General features: G+C 40.2%; 1 protein-coding gene across 9 annotated transcripts in view, besides 1 other annotated feature; it reads right to left on the minus strand.

The window, feature by feature from the left end:
- Nucleotides 772-1,066: a silencer, noted in NCBI's record as "tiled region #10705; HepG2 Repressive DNase matched - State 6:EnhF". NCBI's record gives its function as "represses a minimal TATA promoter and a strong SV40 promoter by Sharpr-MPRA in HepG2 cells {active_cell/tissue: HepG2}" and the evidence as "EXISTENCE:reporter gene assay evidence [ECO:0000049][PMID:27701403]".
- Nucleotides 3,716-20,201, minus strand: part of POLE2 (DNA polymerase epsilon 2, accessory subunit) — a 44,660-nt gene continuing 28,174 nt past the window's right edge. For 3 of the 9 annotated variants that reach the window (NM_001197330.2, NM_002692.4, NM_001348385.2), the window contains 9 exons: nt 15,832-16,004; nt 15,166-15,255; nt 14,945-14,999; nt 14,316-14,375; nt 14,151-14,228; nt 11,430-11,538; nt 10,426-10,602; nt 7,454-7,521; nt 3,716-3,831 (listed from right to left, as the gene is read on the minus strand). In NM_001197330.2, the coding sequence (NP_001184259.1) occupies nt 3,813-3,831; nt 7,454-7,521; nt 10,426-10,602; nt 11,430-11,538; nt 14,151-14,228; nt 14,316-14,375; nt 14,945-14,999; nt 15,166-15,255; nt 15,832-16,004 (829 nt within the window). In that variant the 3' untranslated portion in view covers nt 3,716-3,812. Of the gene's footprint in view, nt 3,832-6,730; nt 7,254-7,453; nt 7,522-10,307; nt 10,603-11,429; nt 11,539-14,150; nt 14,229-14,315; nt 14,376-14,944; nt 15,000-15,165; nt 15,256-15,831; nt 16,005-20,201 lie in introns of those variants that run through there. The other 6 variants (XR_007064016.1, XR_007064015.1, NM_001348384.2 and 3 more) reach the window with 5 other exon arrangements.

Raw genomic sequence — 20,201 nt, forward strand, 5'->3', positions numbered from 1 at the left:
AAAAGGTTTAAAGCACCTGAGGGATGTGTAAAATTGCACTCTTTTCTATTATAACCCTGAGGTCAGTGAGCATAACCAAGGATTAATTGTCAACTTATTTTCACTCACCTTTGTAACATCAAAATTCTGGACGTTTGACCTTAAAAAAGGCATTTCCAAACATGAATACATGAACACACCATACTTCTCAAAGGACAACAAACTACAACTGGTTGTTTAGAAGTGATAATGGCCTTTAGGGTTCCCGAACCCTCTGAAATTATGTGTAGGGGCAGGCTCATGTGGGGCTTGGGGACATGGGTCTCAGTAGAGGCCCATAGGGCCCATAGCTTTCATTAGATTCTCTGAGGGTTCCTGCCCTCTGCTTTGCCAAGTTTCTTACTATATGATGTTCTCTTTCCCAGAAGAATCTCTTTGGGAAAAGACAGTGTACAGTTGTGGAAGAGCCCCCTTGCGCAAAACAAATGTTCTCTTGCCTAAAATTCATCCATTAAGGAAAGCTATCCTTAAAAAAAAATGGGCCAGGCGCAGTGGCCCACACCTATAATCCCAGCACTTTGGAAGGCCGAGGTGAGTGGATCACCTGAGGTCAGGAGTTCAAGACCAGCCTGGCCAACATGGTAAAACATCACCTCTACTAAAAATGCAAAAATTAGCCAGGCGTGGTGGCAGGCGCCTGTAATCCCAGCTACTTGGGAGGCTGAGGCAGGAGAATCTCTTGAACCCGGGAAGCTGAGGTTGCAGTGAGCCATGATTGCACCATTGCATTCCAGCCTGGGCGACAAGAGTGAAACTCCGCCTCAAAAAAAAAAAAAAAAAAAAAAGAATGCCTTTTGGAGGGAGAAGTGCCTAGGTATTGAGCCATTATCAGTTATTAACCCCTTTGTGCAAACTCTCTTATCCTATCCTTGCGCAAATACTGCATTTGCTCTCTTCAGATGCCATTTGTTCTATTTATTGGGAAGTAGAGGTCCAGAGTAGATGGCTGAGACCTACTGACTTAAGTGAGATACTGTGATAGCACATGCCAGATCCTAATACATAACAAACAGCTTCATGAGACAAAACTTAATGCACTGGAATTTTCTATTCTGCCATGACTCATTAATATTTCAACCCACTGATCAGTTTGACCTTCAGTCTGAAACACTGCTCAAGATAAATGATCTTGTATATCTTCAGTAGCATGTTCAGTAAGGAAGTAGACGAAGGCAGGACAATACCATGCTGGTGAGGCGCCTGGACTCCAGTCAGATAACCCAGCATCAACTCTGCTGTGACCCTTACCAGCTGTGTGACTTTGGGCAACTTATTTAACCTACCTATGCCTGTTTTCTTCATGTATAACTAAAGGTGATAGTGAACCTAATGAGGATTAAATTGCGCAATGAATAAGCACTTACCACAGTGCCTAGCATAGTAAACATTTAATACATGTATTAAAGAATTGGAGCAATGGTCTTGCAACCTTTTCCACAACCCCCCCAGCCCTTTAATTCAGAAAACCTGCCTAAAAATGAAGCCCAAAGTGTAAGCACAATAAAAACAATAAAAGTGGAGCCCTTGAATAGAGTGGGTAGGAGCCTTGGCTCCAGAGAAAACGCATATATGTGCATAGGATCAGAATGAAATGTCCCATTTTAAGTTTACCTTCCCTGCTATGAGCTACCACCACCATTACAAGAGGACACTAAATTTCACAGATGGTGGTGAATGACTGGGGCTCACCTGATTTTGCTTAATAAGGATCTCTTATGGACTACAAAATCAAATTCCTATGCCTGTAAGGCAGGGAAAACAGTTCATGAGCACAATCCAATCTGTAAGCATGTCTTCTTGGTTGCAAACTGCAGTTTAAATTAGTGCTTGCGAAGTCAGGATATTGTACCGAAAAATCCAGATTTCTCTAAAATGGCCCCATAGGCCTGGTTTCCTGCATGGCTGCCCCTGGCTGAAGAATGCTTCATTCGGTCTGTCCAGTCTCTGGCATTCTGTGGTTTCCCTACAGAAACCACGTGTTTGCTTTTTTTATAGTAGAGAAATCTTACCACTATCTCTGTGTGTTAACAATCTGGCTCCTGCTTTGAGGTGCACCTTCACTTAATGGTGCCTCGTAAACAGATTGCAGCAGTGAGATCAGCCGGGCTTCAGCTGATTAAACACCCAGTTGGGAACACCCAGCTGGGAACACACTGTCTCTGTTCTTTACTAAAGCAAAGTCCACTCTTTCACACCGGCTCCTCTGCTGTCCTATCTTACAGACCTTGGCTTTCTTTTCCATCTCTGGACGATGTTGATCCTCACCTGGTTCTAGTTCCTGCCTTACCTTATTCTAATATTGATGGCCTGCTTCTGGCAATTTACACTGCCTTGTTTCACTTCACTTCATCTTGTTTAACCCCTAAATGCACCCTACTTTCACTGTGTTCTTGAAAAGATCTCAAAATACCTCTGCTTTAATTATAGAAGCAATTATGTATCCACTGAATGAGAGGACACCTTGATTTCAATTTCCATTTATAAACTTCTGCCCATCATCATTCATATTTAGCTCTGTGAGTCTCATAACTGCACCAGCAGCCTTGCATGTCTATTTTACTGCCACTTTCTAGGCCCAAACTGTTTAAATTTATGTCTTGATTTCATCTTTAAACTTTGATTTTACCAGGTTATTCTTGAAATTAAAGTTAAACCTTGCTCTTCTAACATTAGGCCCCTTCTAACATTCTTCCAATTTTCCATCCCCAAACCACATATCAGATTGTCATGTTCTCTTTGCTGCTAAATTAACTTATCACTGCATTCATATTAAATTTCCTTGAGGAATTTCCCTTTCACTGTGTCATTTTTATATTTTTTTATTAGTACCTTTTCTCTCAAAAGCTAATTCTCTTTGAAAGCAATGTCTTCCAGTCCAGGCTCTTCGTAATTTTTTTTTTTTTTTTGAAAGAGTCTCACTGTGTCGCCCAGGCTGGAGTGCAGTGGCCTGATCTCAGCTCACTGCAACCTCTGCCTCCCAGGCTCAAGCGATTCTTTCATCTCAGCCTCCCAAGTAGCTGGGACTACACCCGACTAATTATTGTATTTTGGGGGGTTTTTTGTCTTTTTTTTTGAGATGGAGTCTCTCTGTCGCCCAGGCTGGAGTGCAGTGGCGCGATCTCGGCTCACTGCAACTTCTGCCTCCCAGGTTCAAGCGATTCTCCCTGCACTCTAGCCTGGGTGACAGAGCTAGACTCTGTCTCCAAAAAAAAAAAAAAAAAAAGTATATACATATCCACATATTTTTATTTCTTTCTCTTTTTTTGACAGAGTCTCGCTCTGTCACCCAGGCTGGAGTACAATGGCACAATCTTGGCTCACCGCAACCTCCGCCTCCCAGGTTCAAGTGATTCTCCCTGCCTCAGCCTCCCGAGAAGCTGGGATTACAGGCGCCCGCCACCATGCCCAGCTAATTTTTGTATTTTTTTTTTTAGCAGAGATAGGGTTTTGCTACCTTGGCTAGGCTGGTCTCGAACTCCTGACCTCAGGTGATCCACCCGCCTTGGCCTCCCAAAGCACTAGGATTACAGGCGTGAGCCACTGCGCCTGGCCCCCATATATTTTTCTTAAAAGACTATGCAGAAAATATTTTTCCTAGAAAACTTTCTCAAGTATACCATCATATTTATCACTTAGTATCAAAATTTCACAAAATACAAATTTAAGCAGAACATCCTAAAGTTTACCATAATTTTATTGTAATATCAGAATCACATAAGATATAGAGTTAAGCAGAAAACTGATGAATTTTCTTCAGATGATCTTTAAGAATCTCAAAAGCCTTGAAGTTTGCTGAAAATAGAAAAAAAAATTAAATATTTGGAAACCTAAGTTGTATACTTACTAATAGTTGTAGTTAATTTTTTTAAATAGGTATAGTTAATTGATTTTTAAAAACAGGTCAATACATACATACTGTTTCAAATTCAAAAGGAGACTCTAAAAAATAAGTCATTCTCATGCCCCCTTTTCTGCTCCCAAAAAGCAAATGTATGTCTTTTTTTTTTTTTTTTTTTTTCGAGAGGGAGTCTCACTCTGTTGCCCAGGCTGGAGTGCAATGGCGTAATCTCGGTTCACCGCAACCTCTGCCTCCTGGGTTCGAGTGATTCTCCTGCCTCAGCCTCCTGAGTAGCTGAGATTATAGGCACTTGCCACCATGCCTGGCTAATTTTTGTATTTTTAGTAGAGACGAGGTTTCACCATGTTGGACAGACTGGTCTTGAACTCCTGACCTCAGGTGATCCACCCGCCTCAGCCTCCCAAAAAGTGCTAGGATTAGAGGCATGAGCCACCGCGCCCGGCCAACAACTATATGTCCTTTATAAAGGTAGACTAATTTTTAAAAAAAGTAGCCGGGCGCGGTGGCTCACGCCTATAATCCCAGCACTTTGGGAGGCAGAGGCGGGTGGATCACCTGAGGTCAGGAGTTCGAGACCAGCCTGACCAACTTGGAGAAACCCCATCTGTACTAAAAATAAAAAATTAGCCAGGTATGGTGACGCATGCCTGTAATCCCAGCTACTCGGGAGGTTGAGGCAGGAGAATCTCTTGAACCCAGAAGGCGGAGGTTGCAGTGAGCTGAGATTGCGCCATTGCACTCCAGCCTGGGCAACAAGAGCAAAACTCCGTCTCCAAAAAAAAAAAAAGTATTCTAATCATATATAAGCACATGTATATGTGGGCTTATGCTTTAAAAACATACAGAAGTGATAGGATATTATGCATACTTTCTACACCTTTTTTCCATTAGTAGTAAATACATTATATTTACTTCTTTGAGGCTTAGAAATTTAAGTAAATCAGAAAGTTCTGAATAAGTACAAATATTTAGATATATATACATTTTTAAAATTTCTTGGTATAAAAACTGCAGTAAAAAGGCTGGGCGCAGTGGCTCATGCCTGTAATCCCAGCCACTTTGGGAGGCCAAGACCGGTGGATCACCTGAGGTCAGGAGTTTGAGACCAGCCTGGCCAACATGGTGAAACTCCATCTCTACTAAAAATACAAAAAATCAGCCAGGCGTGGTGGCATGTGCCTGTGATCCCAGCTACTTGGGAGGCTGAGGCAGGAGAATCGCTTGAACCCAAGAGATGGAGGTTGCAGTGAGCCGAGACTGTGCCGCTGCACTCTAGCCTGGGCAACAGAGCAAAACTCCGTCTCACAAAAAAAAAAAAAAACACTGCAGTAAAAAGCCAGCTGTACCTATACATGATGTACCTACTTGTATGCATAGGCTTAAGTATACCTATAGAATAAATTCCTAAAAGTGGAATTGTTGGTGTAGGCATTAATAAATCTTGTCAAATTGCCCTCCATAAAGGTTTCTGCCATTTTTCATTCTGACCAACTACATGTGAGAATGTGTATTTCCTCCAAAACATCACCAATATTGTGTTTTTAAATAAAACTACTTGAAAGTCATGTTTAAACAGGGTTAATTTTATCAACTTTGACTACATTTCTGTGACTAATTCCACAATATGATTTCACAAATATTCTAACAGAAGGCTTCTTAGGAGAAACTAAGTGGCAAGAAGGCCAGATTATTTCAATATATCTTGAAACTTTTCTGTTTTCCTAAAACATAAACTTACATCAGTTTGTTTGATCTAGCATTGAAAAGATTCCCCAGTTACCAATACAAAATTATAGTTTGGAAATTATGTCAAGGCTTTCAGCATCTGAGGCCACAGCAGATAAAGGAAGCAACTATTTCAGTGGACAAAGAGTGAGCATCAACTGCAAGTACCATGAGACAGGGTACTTGACAGCTGTCACCCAGGCTGGAGTGCAGTGTGGACCAATCACAGTTCACTGCAACCTCTGACTCCCGAGCTCAAGTGAGCTCAAGTGATCTTCCCACCTCAGTCTCCCCAGTACCTGGGACTACAGGTGTGGGCCACCACACCCAGCTAATTTTTTGTATTTTTTTGTAGAGAACAGGCCTTGCCATGTTGCCCAGGCTGGTCTTAAACTCCTGACTTAAGTCATCTGCCTGCCTTGGCCTCCCAAAGTGCTGGATTACAGGTGTGAGCCACCACGAATGGCTGCAGACTGTTTTATGTCTACAAGTTTTATGCCAAATGTTATTTCAGTAAAAGACATTCTAACAGTGGATAAGACTGTATGCTCCAGGCTGACAGCCCTCAGAGTTGACTTAGTCCTGGGGTCACAAAATCAAGTGCCCTCAGGATATCCAGCGTAGACAAGTGGGCTGGAAAAGAGCCACAGCGTCTGGCCTCCTTTTTAATTTTATATTTATAAGCATGTTTTGAAAATTATTCATTTTATATTCACTTTTATTTTAAATAAATATGTTAATTCCAAAAAGAAAAAGACAACTGGGCTGTGTTCAAGATTATATTCTCTGACAATAACCTGGAGGGGAGTTACTTGATTTGGTCAGTTGTTTTTTTGTTGGTTTTTTTTTTTTTTTTTTTTTTTTTTTTTTTTTGAGATAGAGTCTCACTCTGTTGCCCAGGCTGGAGTGCAGTGGCGCCATCTCTGCTCACTCAACCTGTACCTCTCAGGTTCAAGCAATTCTCCTGCCTTAGCCTCCTTCTCCTGAGTAGCTGGGATTACAGGCACACGCCACCACACCCGGGTAATTTTTGTATTTTTAATAAAGACGGGGTTTCACCATGTTGGTCAGGCTGGTCTCAAACTCCTGAGCTCGTGATCCACACACCTCGGCCTCCCAAAGTCCTGGGATTACAGGCATGAGCCACCGTGCCCTGCCTGGGCACTTGTTCTTAACCAGTGGTGGGAACTTTTTCAAAATACAGTTATCTGAGAAATCACATGTTAGGATGCCTGAAATTACAGGAAATAATATTTAAAATGCCTATTCTTTACAATTAGAAAGTCATTTGATGAGTCTGGGGCAAAATCCTAACTTAACATTTTTAACAAGGACCCCAGAGGATTCTGATGTGGGTGATCTATGTAGATCACCCTGTGAAAACTACTACCCACTAGGTGATTATTTTCTTCTTTCTCAAGACCTTTCCGTAACTCCAACCCCATACCATCACCAAACTCACACACAGCTCCCTCACTGTCAATTTAAGGGAAAGTACCTAAGAAGCAACCATACGGAGGGCAGGACTGACCTCTCAGAAGAGTGAGACCATCGTCAGGAGTTGGCCTGTAAGAGAACTAGCTCACCTCCACAGCTGGCCTGAGATTTCCCCCAGAAAACAGTTCTTGATCTATTTCAACACAAACGTACCATCATGTACCCACAATTCTGTGTCACACAGCATAACCGTGATAAGCTCAGCCAATAATATTTCTTTATGGGCCACTGTAGACATTTTCAAAAATCCCAACACACTGATAGAACATCTCATTTTCAGTAATTTAACACCTAGAGAAAGATCTTTCTTGCTGTGTCTGTGCACACACTTACCTATCTTCTACTGTCTTATTAGAAGGATAAAAAACTTTGAATGAAAATCCACTTCTTGGAAAAGAGCCCTTTGGGGGAGAAAAATGCCTGTAAGTGAATGCTCAGACTTTTTTTTAAAATAAATTTTTTTAAACACAATATGTATATTTTTTATTTTTTATTTTATTTATTTATTTTTTTTTTGAGACATGGTCTCACTCTCATCACCCAGGCTGGAGTGCAGTGGGGCAATCTCACTGCAACCTCCATTTCCGGGATTCAAGCGATCTTCCCATCTCAGCCTCCCAGGTAGCTGGGACCACAGGCATGGGCCACCACGCCTAGCTAATTTTTGTATTTTTTGTAAAGAGGGACAGGGTTTCACTGTGTTGCCCAGGCTAGTCTTGAACTCTTGGGCACAGGTGATCTGCTCACCTCGGCCTCTCAGAGTGCTGGGATTACAGGCATGAGCCACCGTGCCCAGCCGAATACTCAAGTTTTATAAAATAATTCCTGTTTTTTAAAAGTCCTTGGTTGTGACTTAAAATGACAAGATGTGACTATAAAGTAACACAACAGATTTTTACACGATCTTTTTACAGAGTTGTTACTATAAAATATCTCCACTTGAAGCAAAAGTCTTTTGAGTTGGCTAGACAGTCTTAATGCTAAAAGATGAGGTTGGAAATGCTTAGGAGGAGCTCTACTTAGTGTAAAAAATAAACAGACTGTGTAACGCCAAATATGCATGTGAGACAATCAGCAAGTTCAAGAAGTCTTTCCTGCCCCTCTCTCTAATGCAAAACTGATTTGCATTCCTATGTACCTGTTTGATTCCCTTCCTATGTGCCTGTAAAGCAACTGAGCAATAATCACACATACAATTGTTTGTCTACTATGAAACTCTCACGTGGCTGAGCAGAGGCCCTGTCTTTTCAGTCTTTGTGCCCCAAGCACCGAACCCAACACCTAGCCTATGGCAGGCATTCGTTAATGTGAATAAATATCAAGAAAGGATGAAGTAATGTCTAAGGCTAGTTTTGAGCTTGCCCAAAAGGTATAAATAAGGTAAAAAAGATATAATGATGGTGTAGGAGGTGGTGGTTTACTCACAGGGATGAAAAAGTAGAAAAATTCAGAAATAAGGTATATTCAAATAGAGCATTAACTAGGAGAATGCCCAAAGTTTAAGTAAGGAAATAGCATCACCATGAAAGACTATTTCAATGTGAATAAAAATCAGGTCATAAATTTCTAAGCAATAAAACCAAATCAGTTAACTGTGTTCATTCTTAAAGCAGAGGCTCTTAACCAGGGTTCCTTTGTCCCTCAGGGGGACATTTGGCCAGTGTCTGGAGACATTTCTGATTGTTACAGCTGGGGAATACTACTGGCATTTAGTGGACAGAGGCCAGGGATGCTGCTAAACAGCTTACAATGCACAGGATAGCCCCCACCACCAAAAATTACTTGGTCCAAAATGTCAAAAGTGCCAAGGCCGATAAGCCATGTCTTAGAAGAAGCTGGACAAACTGTGTGTTTGAGGAAAGCAAAGTAGAGACAGGCCCTTTCTATGTTGCCCATGCTGGTTGTGAACTCCTGGACTCAAGCCATCTTCCTGCCTCGGCCTCCCAAAGTGCTGGGATTACAGGCCCAGCATCATGCCAAAAATAAGGCATGATGTTTCTAGAAATTACTCAGATGAAACAAAAAATTAGTAAAGTCTAAAATTCACAAGAATCAAGGAAGCATGCATATTAAAAATCTCTAGTGGAGATAATATTTTGTTTGACATAACTGTGTTTATGTCATTGTTTATGCAGTATTTATTCTCCAAGTTCAAAAAGTCAATTATATTTCTTTCCCTTTTTTTTTTTTTTTTTTTTTTTTTTTGAGACGCAGTCTCGCTCAGCTGCCCAGGCTGGAGTGCAGTGGCGCGATCTTGGCTCACTACAAGCTCTGTCTCCCGGGTTCACGCCATTCTCCTACCTCAGCCTCCCGAGTAGCTGGGACTAGAGGCGCCCGCCACCTCGCCCAGCTAATTTTTTGTGTTTTTAGTAGAGACGGGGTTGCACCATGTTAGCCAGGATGGTCTCGATCTCCTGACCTCGTGATCTGCCCGCCTTGGCCTCCCAAAGTGCTGGGATTACAGGCGTGAGCCACCACACCCGGCCTATATTTCTTTTCTTTTTTTTTGAGATGGAGTCTCGCTCTGTCGCCCAGGCTGGAGTGCAATGGCGTGATCTCCGCTCACTGCAACCTCTGCCTCCCTGGTTCAAGCAATTCTCCTGCCTCAGCCTCCCAAGTAGGTGGGATTACAGGCGCGCACCACCACGCCCAGCTAATTATTGTAATTTTTAGTAGAGACGGGGTTTCACCATGTTGGTCAGGCTGGTCTTGAACTCCTGACCTCGTGATCCACCCACCTCGGCCTCCCAAAGTGCTGGGATTACAGGTGTGAGCCACCATACCTGGCCTAAAAGTCAATTATATTTCTGCAGAAATTCTGAAGCAACCTCAAGATTCTGAAGCAATTTCAAGGTTCTACATAAAATTAAGTAATAAAATATGTACCAATGAGGTTTCTATATTAATCAGGCTTAGATTTTTGGGACCTGTGCAATTTCCAAAAATCAAAATCATTCTCAAAGGACAAGTACCACCAATATGCAGGCTCTGAAGCAATTCCCAGAAAGGAATCCCAAGATAAGTTCTGAAGAGGAGAAAATTACTCTTTTGGATTTATGTTTTGGTATGCTTGTGGGTATGCTTGTTTTTTTGTTTTTTAAGTCATGTTACTTTATAGTCACTATACTGAAAGTTTAAGAACTTTCTGTGTATACCAACTTTCTGTGTATAGAAACTTAATTCAGTGTTTCACTAATAGCATATTTTTACTTCGACAATAATCTTATTAAATATATATTTTTAAATTAAAAAATGCACTCTAATCTTGATAAATAATGACTATATAAGATTAACTACATTCTTACAGGGTTTATGCAGAGGCATTCGGTATTTGTCGTAGTGAAAGGATCATATTTGTCTGCAATGACAAGTAGATCGGGCACAGGATACACTCTCAAAGCATAGTCATATGCCCAATACACTGGGCAGACATAAAGAGGTAGGGGAGTCAGATGTCCTTGGGATAAGATAGTCTTTACAAACTACAAAAGAGCACAAAACAAAGCAAACTTCAGTTCATTTGCAAAAGTGAAAATAGCTAAACAAATAATTTCAAATTAAATATTAATTACCAAAAGGAACCAGAAAATTTGAGAAACTAGGAAAGCTTTGACTCACAGAGCTTTGGGAGACACTAATTTAAAAGTGAAATAAACTATTCTGTATTTTAGGAAAAAAAATCTATGAGTTTTCATTTAATAACATATACATCATTATGCTGCCCAGGCTGGTCTCAAACTCCTGGCCTCAAGCAAGCCACCCAAAGTGCTGGGATTACAGGCATAAGCCACTGCACCTGGTCCATAAACTTTAAATATTATAAAATGAATAATAAAAATGCTCTGTAACATCTATTTCCGTACTTCTCAAATGGGGGTGTATGTAACCTGTGATTGACAACTATTGTCAGGGAACCTCGAAGCTACAAGATAAATACTGCACATTCTTGTGATATGGACATACTATATAAAATATGTAACCAATGGGATAAATAAGAACAGTTTATTAAAACAAATATACATATATTTTCAAGTATAATTTAAGAGTTTAAAAGGCAAAACACGAAGCTTGAAAGAAATTTCATGCTTATTCTCAGCTTTTCTCTGTCCTCTAAAGGACATACACTTAGGTAGAAAGCTGAGAAACACTGACTTCACTAACAAAAATTAACTTACTGACAAAAGTACGTTCAAACTATTTTGAACCATAAATAAATGTCCTAACCCAAGGACAAATTATTAAGTGGCTTAATAAAATTTTATATAATGCAACATGTAAGGCAGTTTAATAAAAAAGTTGTTTCACTTACGTGATTAGGAATAGCCAAATTGCTGCTAGGAAAACGGACGCAGTTTCTGCACATTTTATTTACTAAGTCTTCACGGAAGACAGTAATTTCCTGTGTACAGTACTGAATTCTGAAATGAAAACAGTAGTTGAATTTGACTTCTCAGAAAAAAATGATATTAATTTTAAAGGTAAAATCTCTTACAATACAACCCCATTCCCACATTCACTGTTCACCACACAAAACTTCAACCAGAGTCTGTCTATTCATCTATTCATTTAACAGCTATGTATTGAGCTCTTAATATATGCCTACCCCATTCTAGGGATTAGCGAACAGAACCAAAAGATCCCAGCCCTCATACAGTTTACATTCTAGTAGGGGGTGGGGCTGAGAAAATAAAAAGCGAACATAATCATATAGTATGTTTTAAGATAATTAAGCATAAGAGAAAAAGAAAAAGACAGGCTAAGAGGGACAGCATATGTGGTAAGAGAGAGCCTAGAAGGCGGGCATATTAATAGGATGATCAGAACAGGCCGGGCTCATAATTTAGTGTGACTTGAGCACAGGCTTGAAGCGGAAGAGGGACTTAGTCAAGCAGATACCCAGAGGAAGCGCACTGCAGGCAAAGGGAACAGATGGAGCCCAGGCCCTCAGACTGGAGCTCGCCTGGCATCCTTGAGGAACAGAAGGGAGGCTAGTGTGGCTGGAGTAAATGGGGAGGAGAGGAAATCAGAGAGGTAACGGAGCCAGATAACACAGGGCCTTGATTACCACTGCAAGGATACGGCTGTCACTAAATCACGAGGGGTCCCTTTTTCCAATGAGGGTCCCTTTTTCCAGGATCGGGAAGGTGGATGGGATATGCCTTATGCTTTACAGGATCACTTTCACACTGCGTTAAGAATAGAATACGGAGAGGAGAATGGCATGAACCCGGGAGGCGGAGCTTGCAGTGAGCCGAGATCGCGCCACTGCACTCCAGCCTGGGCAACAGAGCGAGACTCCGTCTCAAAAAAAAAAAAAAAAAAAAAAAAAAAAAAAAAAAAAAAAAAAAAAAAGAATAGAATACGGAGGGGAAGGAGTAAAAGCTGGAGACCAATTAGGAGGCTATTGTAATAATCCAGGCCGAGAAGATGGCAGAGCAGGGCTCCTCAACCTCCAGGCCATGGACTGGTACCAGTCCATGGTCTGTTAGGAACTGGACCACACAGCAGGAGGTGAGCAGCAGGCTGCAAGCAAGCAAAGCTTCATCTGTATTTACAGCCACTCCCCATCGGTTGTATTACATCCTGACCTCTGCCTCCTGTCAGATCAGCAGGGGCATTAGATTCTCACAGGAGCACGAATCCTGTTGTGAACTGTACACGTGAGTGATCTAGGCTGCACACTCGTTATAAGAATCTAATGTCTGATGATCTGTCACTGTCTCCCATCATCCCCAGATGGGACCGTCTGGTTTCAGGAAAACAAGCTTAGGGCTCCTACTGATTCTATATTATGGTAAGTTGTATAATTGTTTTATTATATATTATAATGTAATAATAATAGAAATAAAGTGCACAATAAGTGTAATACGCTTGAATCATCCCAAAATCACCCCCACCCCCCCTGGCGTCTGTCTCCCATAAGATCAGTCCCTGGTGCCAAAAAGGTTGGGGACCACTGTGGTAGAGGGTTGTGGAGGTAGAGGTATAGAGAGAGAGCAGATTCTGGATATAATTTGAAGTTAATGGGACTTCCTGAAAAAACATGTGAGAGAAACCCCAAAGTGTTTGGCCTGAACAACTGGAATAATCATTGTTCAGACCATGAAGGTGTCATGAACTAACATGGAGAAGTCTACAGAAGAGGTTAGGGACACTCGTGGGGAGGAAGATCAGGAGTTCACTTAGGTTGGGATGGTGATAAGTAGGCAACTGGATACCTGAGTCTGGAGTTTGGAAGGTAGGTTGAAGTGGAAATATAAATGTGGAAGGTGTCAATACACAGATGATACTTAAAGCCAGAGGACACTGGAGAAGGCCAGCAAAGGAGTGAATGTAGGCAGAAAAGAGGCGAACCAAGGCTGCCTCTGATGGTATTCCCACAGGAAGAACTTATGATTACAATGAGCAATACGAACAGTAAATAAGTAATCTTTGTATTCTTCCTTTGTAACCTTTCTTAAAGGATATGTAGTAATAATATCTATTTTTAAACTGCTATCCATTATTCAAGAGTCTGAATTGACTACCAATAAATTATTTAAATATAGTTAAACTATTTTCAAAGTTTTGAGAAACCTAAAACAAAAATAAATTTTCTTCTTATATTTATTCCATAACAGTCGAAATTCAGAGACACATTTTAGGAATCAAGTTAGTTTTTTTGTTTTTTGTTTTTTTTGTTTTTTTGTTTTTTGTTTTTTTGAGACAGGGTCTTGCTCTGTCGCCCAGGCTGCAGGCTGGAATGCAGTAGTGCATTCTCAGCTCACAGCAACCTCTCCACCTACCAGGCTCAAGTGATCCTCCCATCTCAGCCTCTTCATAGAACCACAGGCGCGTGCCACCAAGCCCAGCTAATTTTTGTACTTTTTGTAGAGATGGGTTTCACTGTGTTGCCAAAGCTGGTCTCGGAACTCCAAGCAACCTGCCTGCCTCGGCCTCCCAAAGTGCTGAGATTACAGACATGAGCCACCACACCTGGCTAATTTTTAAATGAAAGGAAAAATGTATAACACAAAATACTAATTCTTACCTGCAAGGATTAGTAGTAAAAACTGAAAATGGTACCCTTTGTCTGAATTCATTAGTGATGCTTTCAGCAAGTGGTGGCCTATAAAAACAATTTATGTGATATAGTTTATCTTTTTAAGTTTTACAAAATTTTCTACACTGTTGCAAAAATCTGAACAAAACTTACCTTGGTAAGATGGAACCAAATCCAGGATCCTCTGGACCAGGTACAAACACAAAACGACTACTGTAGCAAAATTCAACACAATTCATTTAAAAATATTATTGTAACACTATCCAATAGCTTAAAAGCAAGTTATTCCCTTTGTTTTCTCTTTAAAATTAAAAAACATTTAAATTTCATGCATTATAATAAATGAACTATTAAGTCTCCAGACCAACACTGTCTAGTAATGTCATGATAGAAAAGTTCTATATCTGCACTGCCCAATTGAACACTTGAATTGTGGCTAGCATAGCTGATGGACTGAATTTTATATTTAAATTTAATTAAACTTAGATTTAAAGAGACATGTGGCCAGTGACTATCATATCGGAGAGTGAAGCTCTAGACTCTTAAGAGTAATGCCACGAAGAAATTCCAAGTATGGCTGAAATTACCTCTATCCCTTTCAATACTTTTCATTATAAACCTCTAGTACAATGTGAGGATAACTTTATCTCTTAGTTCTTTTAATTTTCTCAACTTTATCTTTCTTCCTTAGTTTTGTAATAATTGCTGATATAACAAAATTCATTTTTTGTTTTTTTTTTAAGTAAAACGGTGAAAAAATATATAGTGCTAGAGATCATTACCTTTGGTGAATATCTGGGTATTCACATATTATATCTGCCAAAGTTTTTAGGGAATCTAAAATTTTAAAAAGGTATTGAATTAAATTTGCATATAATGCCATAAAATTATATTTGATTAGATACAATCCTGTATATTCTTAATTAAAATATTATGGATAATTTCTTATTACTTTAGTTTATATGACTATAGAAACACTTCTTATTAAATAGATCGTTAATACCTTTCAAAGCTTGAACTTGATTTTTTCCATATGGTGCAGATGAAAAATTACCACACAGAATAAAGCAGGTTGGAGGTGCTGGTGAATAACCTAAACAATAAAAGAGTAAATGAACAATACTTTTCTAGTCTACAAATCAAGTTAAAAACCCTTTAACCATGACTTTCTAATAATAAAAATTTATTTTAATTAAAATAACATTTTAATAACTTATTAAAATAATACTAATAACAGTAGCCATTCATTGAGCACTTACTATAGGCCAGGCCTGCATTGGCTTAATTACTCCTCAGAACATCCATAAAATCTGAGACTTAGGTTAAGTAACCTGCCCAGGGTAATAGGCTTGCACTTAAACCCAGTTTGTTTTTGTTTTTGTTTAGAGATGGGGTCTCACTATGTTGTCCAGCTGGTCTTGAACTTCAGGACTAATTCTTACTTATCATGACTATAAACACACACACACACACACACACACACACACACAGGTTTTTTTCTTAATGTAAAAATTTAAGTCTTTAAAATGAAATCTAATTTAAATTATCTCATTGCTAACTCTGTTTTTTTTTAAATAGAATACTCAAAAAGATAAATAGAATACTCAAAAAGTTTTAAAACATGAACCCTTAAAAGAGTTCAAGAAAGAAGAAAAAAAATAAGACCTACCAGCAAACATTATGCGAAGTTTTTCCAATACTTCCACCTGGTCCAACCAAACATCAGATAAAAACACAAACATAGCATCTTTATTCTCCTCTTCTAGCTGTTTTAGTTTTGCAGAAGTCTTCACAGATGTATTAGAAGGACCTCCAAAAAAATTAATATTTCCATAGTATGCCCTAGATAATTATAACATAATTATCTTCTATATACCACTAGAGATATTTTTCTAATAGTTGTATACATTTAGCTTCTTTGTATCTAATGAAGTTATTTTCCAGTGTAAAAAGGTACTCTTTGTAACACTTTAAAAGTACAAAGGTTATCTAAATATTCTAAAACAAGATAAGCAATATGGAAGCAGTAAATAAAATAATAGGCTATATCTGTGTCTTAAAACTGACTAAACGGCCGGGCACGGTGGCTCACGCCTGTAATCCCAGTACTTTGGGAGGCCGAGGCGGGCGGATCACGAGGTCAGGAGATCGAGACCATCCTGGCTAACACAGTGAAACCCCATCTCTACTAACAATACAAAAAATTAGCCGGGCGACGTGGCGGGCGCCTGTAGTCCCAGCTACTCTGGAGGATGAGACAGGAGAATGGCGTGAACCCCGGGGGGCGGAGCCTGCAGTGAGCCGAGATTGCGCCACTGCACTCCAACCTGGGCGACAGTGAGACTCTTGTCTCAAAAAAAAAAAAAAAAAACTGACTAAAGCAAACATTAAAATAATAATTTCCTATGTCACTGAAAGTAGAAGAAATGAGTACACCATTTGAACAATATCTCATAGAAACCTCAAAATATGTGCTAACCATCTGCCCAAGTAATTCTACTTCTGGAATGGCTAATCCTAAGGAATTAAAGATATATACAAAGACTAGCCTATATCCAAGAACTGTGAAAAAATTATTCAACGGTTCCTTCAAAGCTTGGTTTTATTCAATGCTCACCAAGCAAGGGTCAGTAGGAAAGTGGGTAATCTACACACTCCCAGCCTCCACCACTCTTGCCCACTCTACACTGACATCCTGCAGTTCCCAGCTTAAATGCAAATACCCCATAGGCCTCCTCTGAGGATCCCAAAAGAGGTTAGATTTTCCCATTATACACTCTCATAGGAACCTGTACTTCTCCTTTGCAGATCTTATCAAATTTGTAATCAGGCCAGGGTGGCTCACACCTATAATCCCAGCACTTTGGGAGGCCGAGGTGGGGGGATTGCTTGAGGTCAGGAGTTCAAAACCAGCCTGACCAACATGGTGAAATCCACCCCATCTCTATTAAAAATGTGAAAATTAGCCGGGCATGGCAGCAGGCACCTATAATTCCAGCTACTCGGGAGGCTGAGGCAGGAGAATCGCTTGAACCTAGGAGATGGAGGTTGTAGTAAGCCGAGATCATGCCACTGCACTCCAGCTTGGGCAACAAAGCAAGATTTTGCCTCAAAAAAAAAAAAAAAAATTGTAGTCAGCCAATTGTAATTGGGCGATTGTTTCATGTCTGTCTCCCCACCTAGTGGCAATACAGTATGTGCTCAAAACATATTTCCTGAATGTCACGAATCATGCTATAAAACAATATTTCACAGTAATAGAAAATGTTGATAGCATATTATTAGATGAAAAACACAGGTTACAAAGCAAGGTACAGTATGTATCCATTTATAATGCCAAAAAAAGGGAATAGATATAGACCTGTGCATTCATGCATAAAAAGAAACTCTCCAGATATACACATACATATCTTGTTATAGTTGATTCCTTTTTTTTTTTTTTCTTTTTTTTGACGGAGTCTCATGCTGTCTCCCAGGCTGGAGTGCAGTGCTGCAGCGGTGCGATCTCAGCTCACTGCAACCTTCATCTCCCGGGTTCAAGCAATTCTCCTGCCTCAGCCTCCTGAGTAGCTGGGATTACAGGCACATGCCACCGCATCCAGCCAATTTTGTATTTTTAGTAGAGATGGGGTTTCACCATGTTGGCTAGGCTGGTCTTGAACTCCTGACCTCAAATGATTCACCCTCCTCGCCCTTCCGAAGTGCTGGGATTACAGGCATGAGCCACCACGCCCAGCCAGTTGATTCTTGTTATTAGTGATATTATGTTCTATAAAATCTCCACAAACAATGAATTGGCAAACACTGAACCATTGCTCCTTGGGAAAATTTGTACTTATATATACATGGATTGATTATAGTCTTAAGTCCTAAAACCAATTTATCCTGGTAGATTCTATTTTTACAAATGAGAAAAGTTGGTTCAGAAATGTTAAGTGACTTATCTGAGGTTGCTCCAAAAACAGGTGCCAGAGGTGAGATTCAAATGCCCCCTCCCCACACAAAACTGGCCCCAGGGCCAGAGCTTCTTGCACTACCCTGTACTGCTCCCTGCAGTCTCTGTCCTCTGGTCATCTTTTTTTTTTTTTCTTTTGAGACAGAGTCTCGCTCTGTCCCCCAGGCTGGAGTGCAATGGCATGATCTCGGCTCACTGCAAGCTCTGCCTCCCGGGTTCATGCCATTCTCCTGCCCCAGCCTCCCAAGTAGCTGGGACTACAGGCACCTGCCACCACGCCCGGCTAATTTTTTGTAGTTTTAGTAAAGACAGGGTTTCATCGTGTTAGCCAGGATGGTCTCGATCTCCTGACCTCGTGATCCGCCCGCCTAGGCTTCCCAAAGTACTGGGATTACAGGCCTGAGCCACCGCGCCCGGCCCCTCTGGTCATCTCTTAATGAGGCTGAAACAAGAAGGCAGTATGGCCTGTTCGACTTCAGCTGGGAACATGCATGCCAGGTGACTCAAAATTTTTTGCTGTTCTGCTAAGCATAAATGACCACTAAAGCACCTTTAGTATTGACTTTAGGAGGTACAAAAACATTTTAGCACAAATCTGTAAATTAATGAGGATCTACTACATATGGACTGTCATGCACGGCATAAAAACGTTTTGGCAATGACGGACTGCATATATGAGTGGTTTCACAGAATGATAATGGAACTGAAAAGCTCTTATTGCCTACTGACATCTTAGCTGTCACAATGTCCTAGTGCCACACATTACTGTGTCTGTAGAGACACTGGTGTATACAACCTACTGAGCTGCCAGTTGTAGGAAAGTACAGCACATATAATAATGTACAATATGTAACACTTGATAACAATAATAAATGACTATGTTACTAGTTTATGTATTTACTGTACTTTTAATCATTATTTTAGAGTGTAGTCCTTCTACTTTTTTTTTTAACTGTAAAACAGCCTCAGGCAGGTCCTTCAGGAGGTCCTTCAAGAAGAACGCATTGTTACTACAGATGGCAGCTCCATGAATTATTGCCCCTGAAGACTTTCCAGTGGACAAGATGTGGAGATGAAAAACAGTGATACTGATGATTCTGTGTATAGGCCTAGGTTAATACACTTGTTTTAGTTTTTAACAAAAAAGATTTTTAGAAAATATAAAGATGGAAAAAAGTGGCTGGGCACAGTGGCTCATGCCTGTAATCACAGTACTTTGGGAGGCTGAGGTGGGAGGATTGCTTGAGGCCAGGAGTTCGAGACCAGCCTGAGCAACATAGTGAAGACCCCCACCAATCCCTACACAATTTTTTTTTTTTAATTAGCAGTCTTAGCTACTTGGGAAGCTGAGGCAGGAGGAACACTTATGTCCAGGAATTTGAGGTTGCAGTGAGCTATAATCATATCACTGCATTCCAGCCTGAAGAAGAGAGTACAGTTGTATCAGTAAATCAATTAATCAATAAAAGAAAAAAGCTCACAAAATCAGGATACAAAGAAACAATTTTTGTGCAGCTGTAGAATGTGTTTGTGTTTTAAGCTGTTTATTACAAAAAGAGTCAAAAATTTAAAATTTTTTAAAGGTTATAAAGAATGTTATAGTAACTAAAGTTAATTAATTTTATTAAAAAATTTTTATTTCAAGACAGGGTCTTCCTTTGTCACTCTGGCTGAAGTATAGTGGCACAATGATAATTCACAGCAGCCTTTAACTCCTGGGCTCAAGCAATGCTGCCACTTCAGCTTGCCAAGTAGCTAGGACTACAGGTACACACTGCCACACCCAGCTAATTTTGTTGTTGTTGTTGTTGGTAGAGATGAGGTTTTGTTATGTTGTCTAGACTGGTCTCAAACTCCTGGCCTTAAGCAACACTCCCTTCAGCCTCCCAAAGTGCTAGGATTGATTATAGGTGTGAGCCACTGTGCCCAGGCTAGGTTAATTTCTTACTGAAGAAAGAAAACTCTTTTTAAACAAATTTAGTGTAGCCTAAGTATACAGTGTTAATAGCCTACAGTAGTGTACAGTAATGTCCTAGGCCTTCAAATTCACTCACTACTCACTCACTGACTCACTCAGAGCAACT

The sequence above is a fragment of the Homo sapiens genome, chromosome 14 (assembly GCF_000001405.40).
Source record: "Homo sapiens chromosome 14, GRCh38.p14 Primary Assembly".
Lineage (NCBI taxonomy): Eukaryota > Metazoa > Chordata > Mammalia > Primates > Hominidae > Homo > Homo sapiens.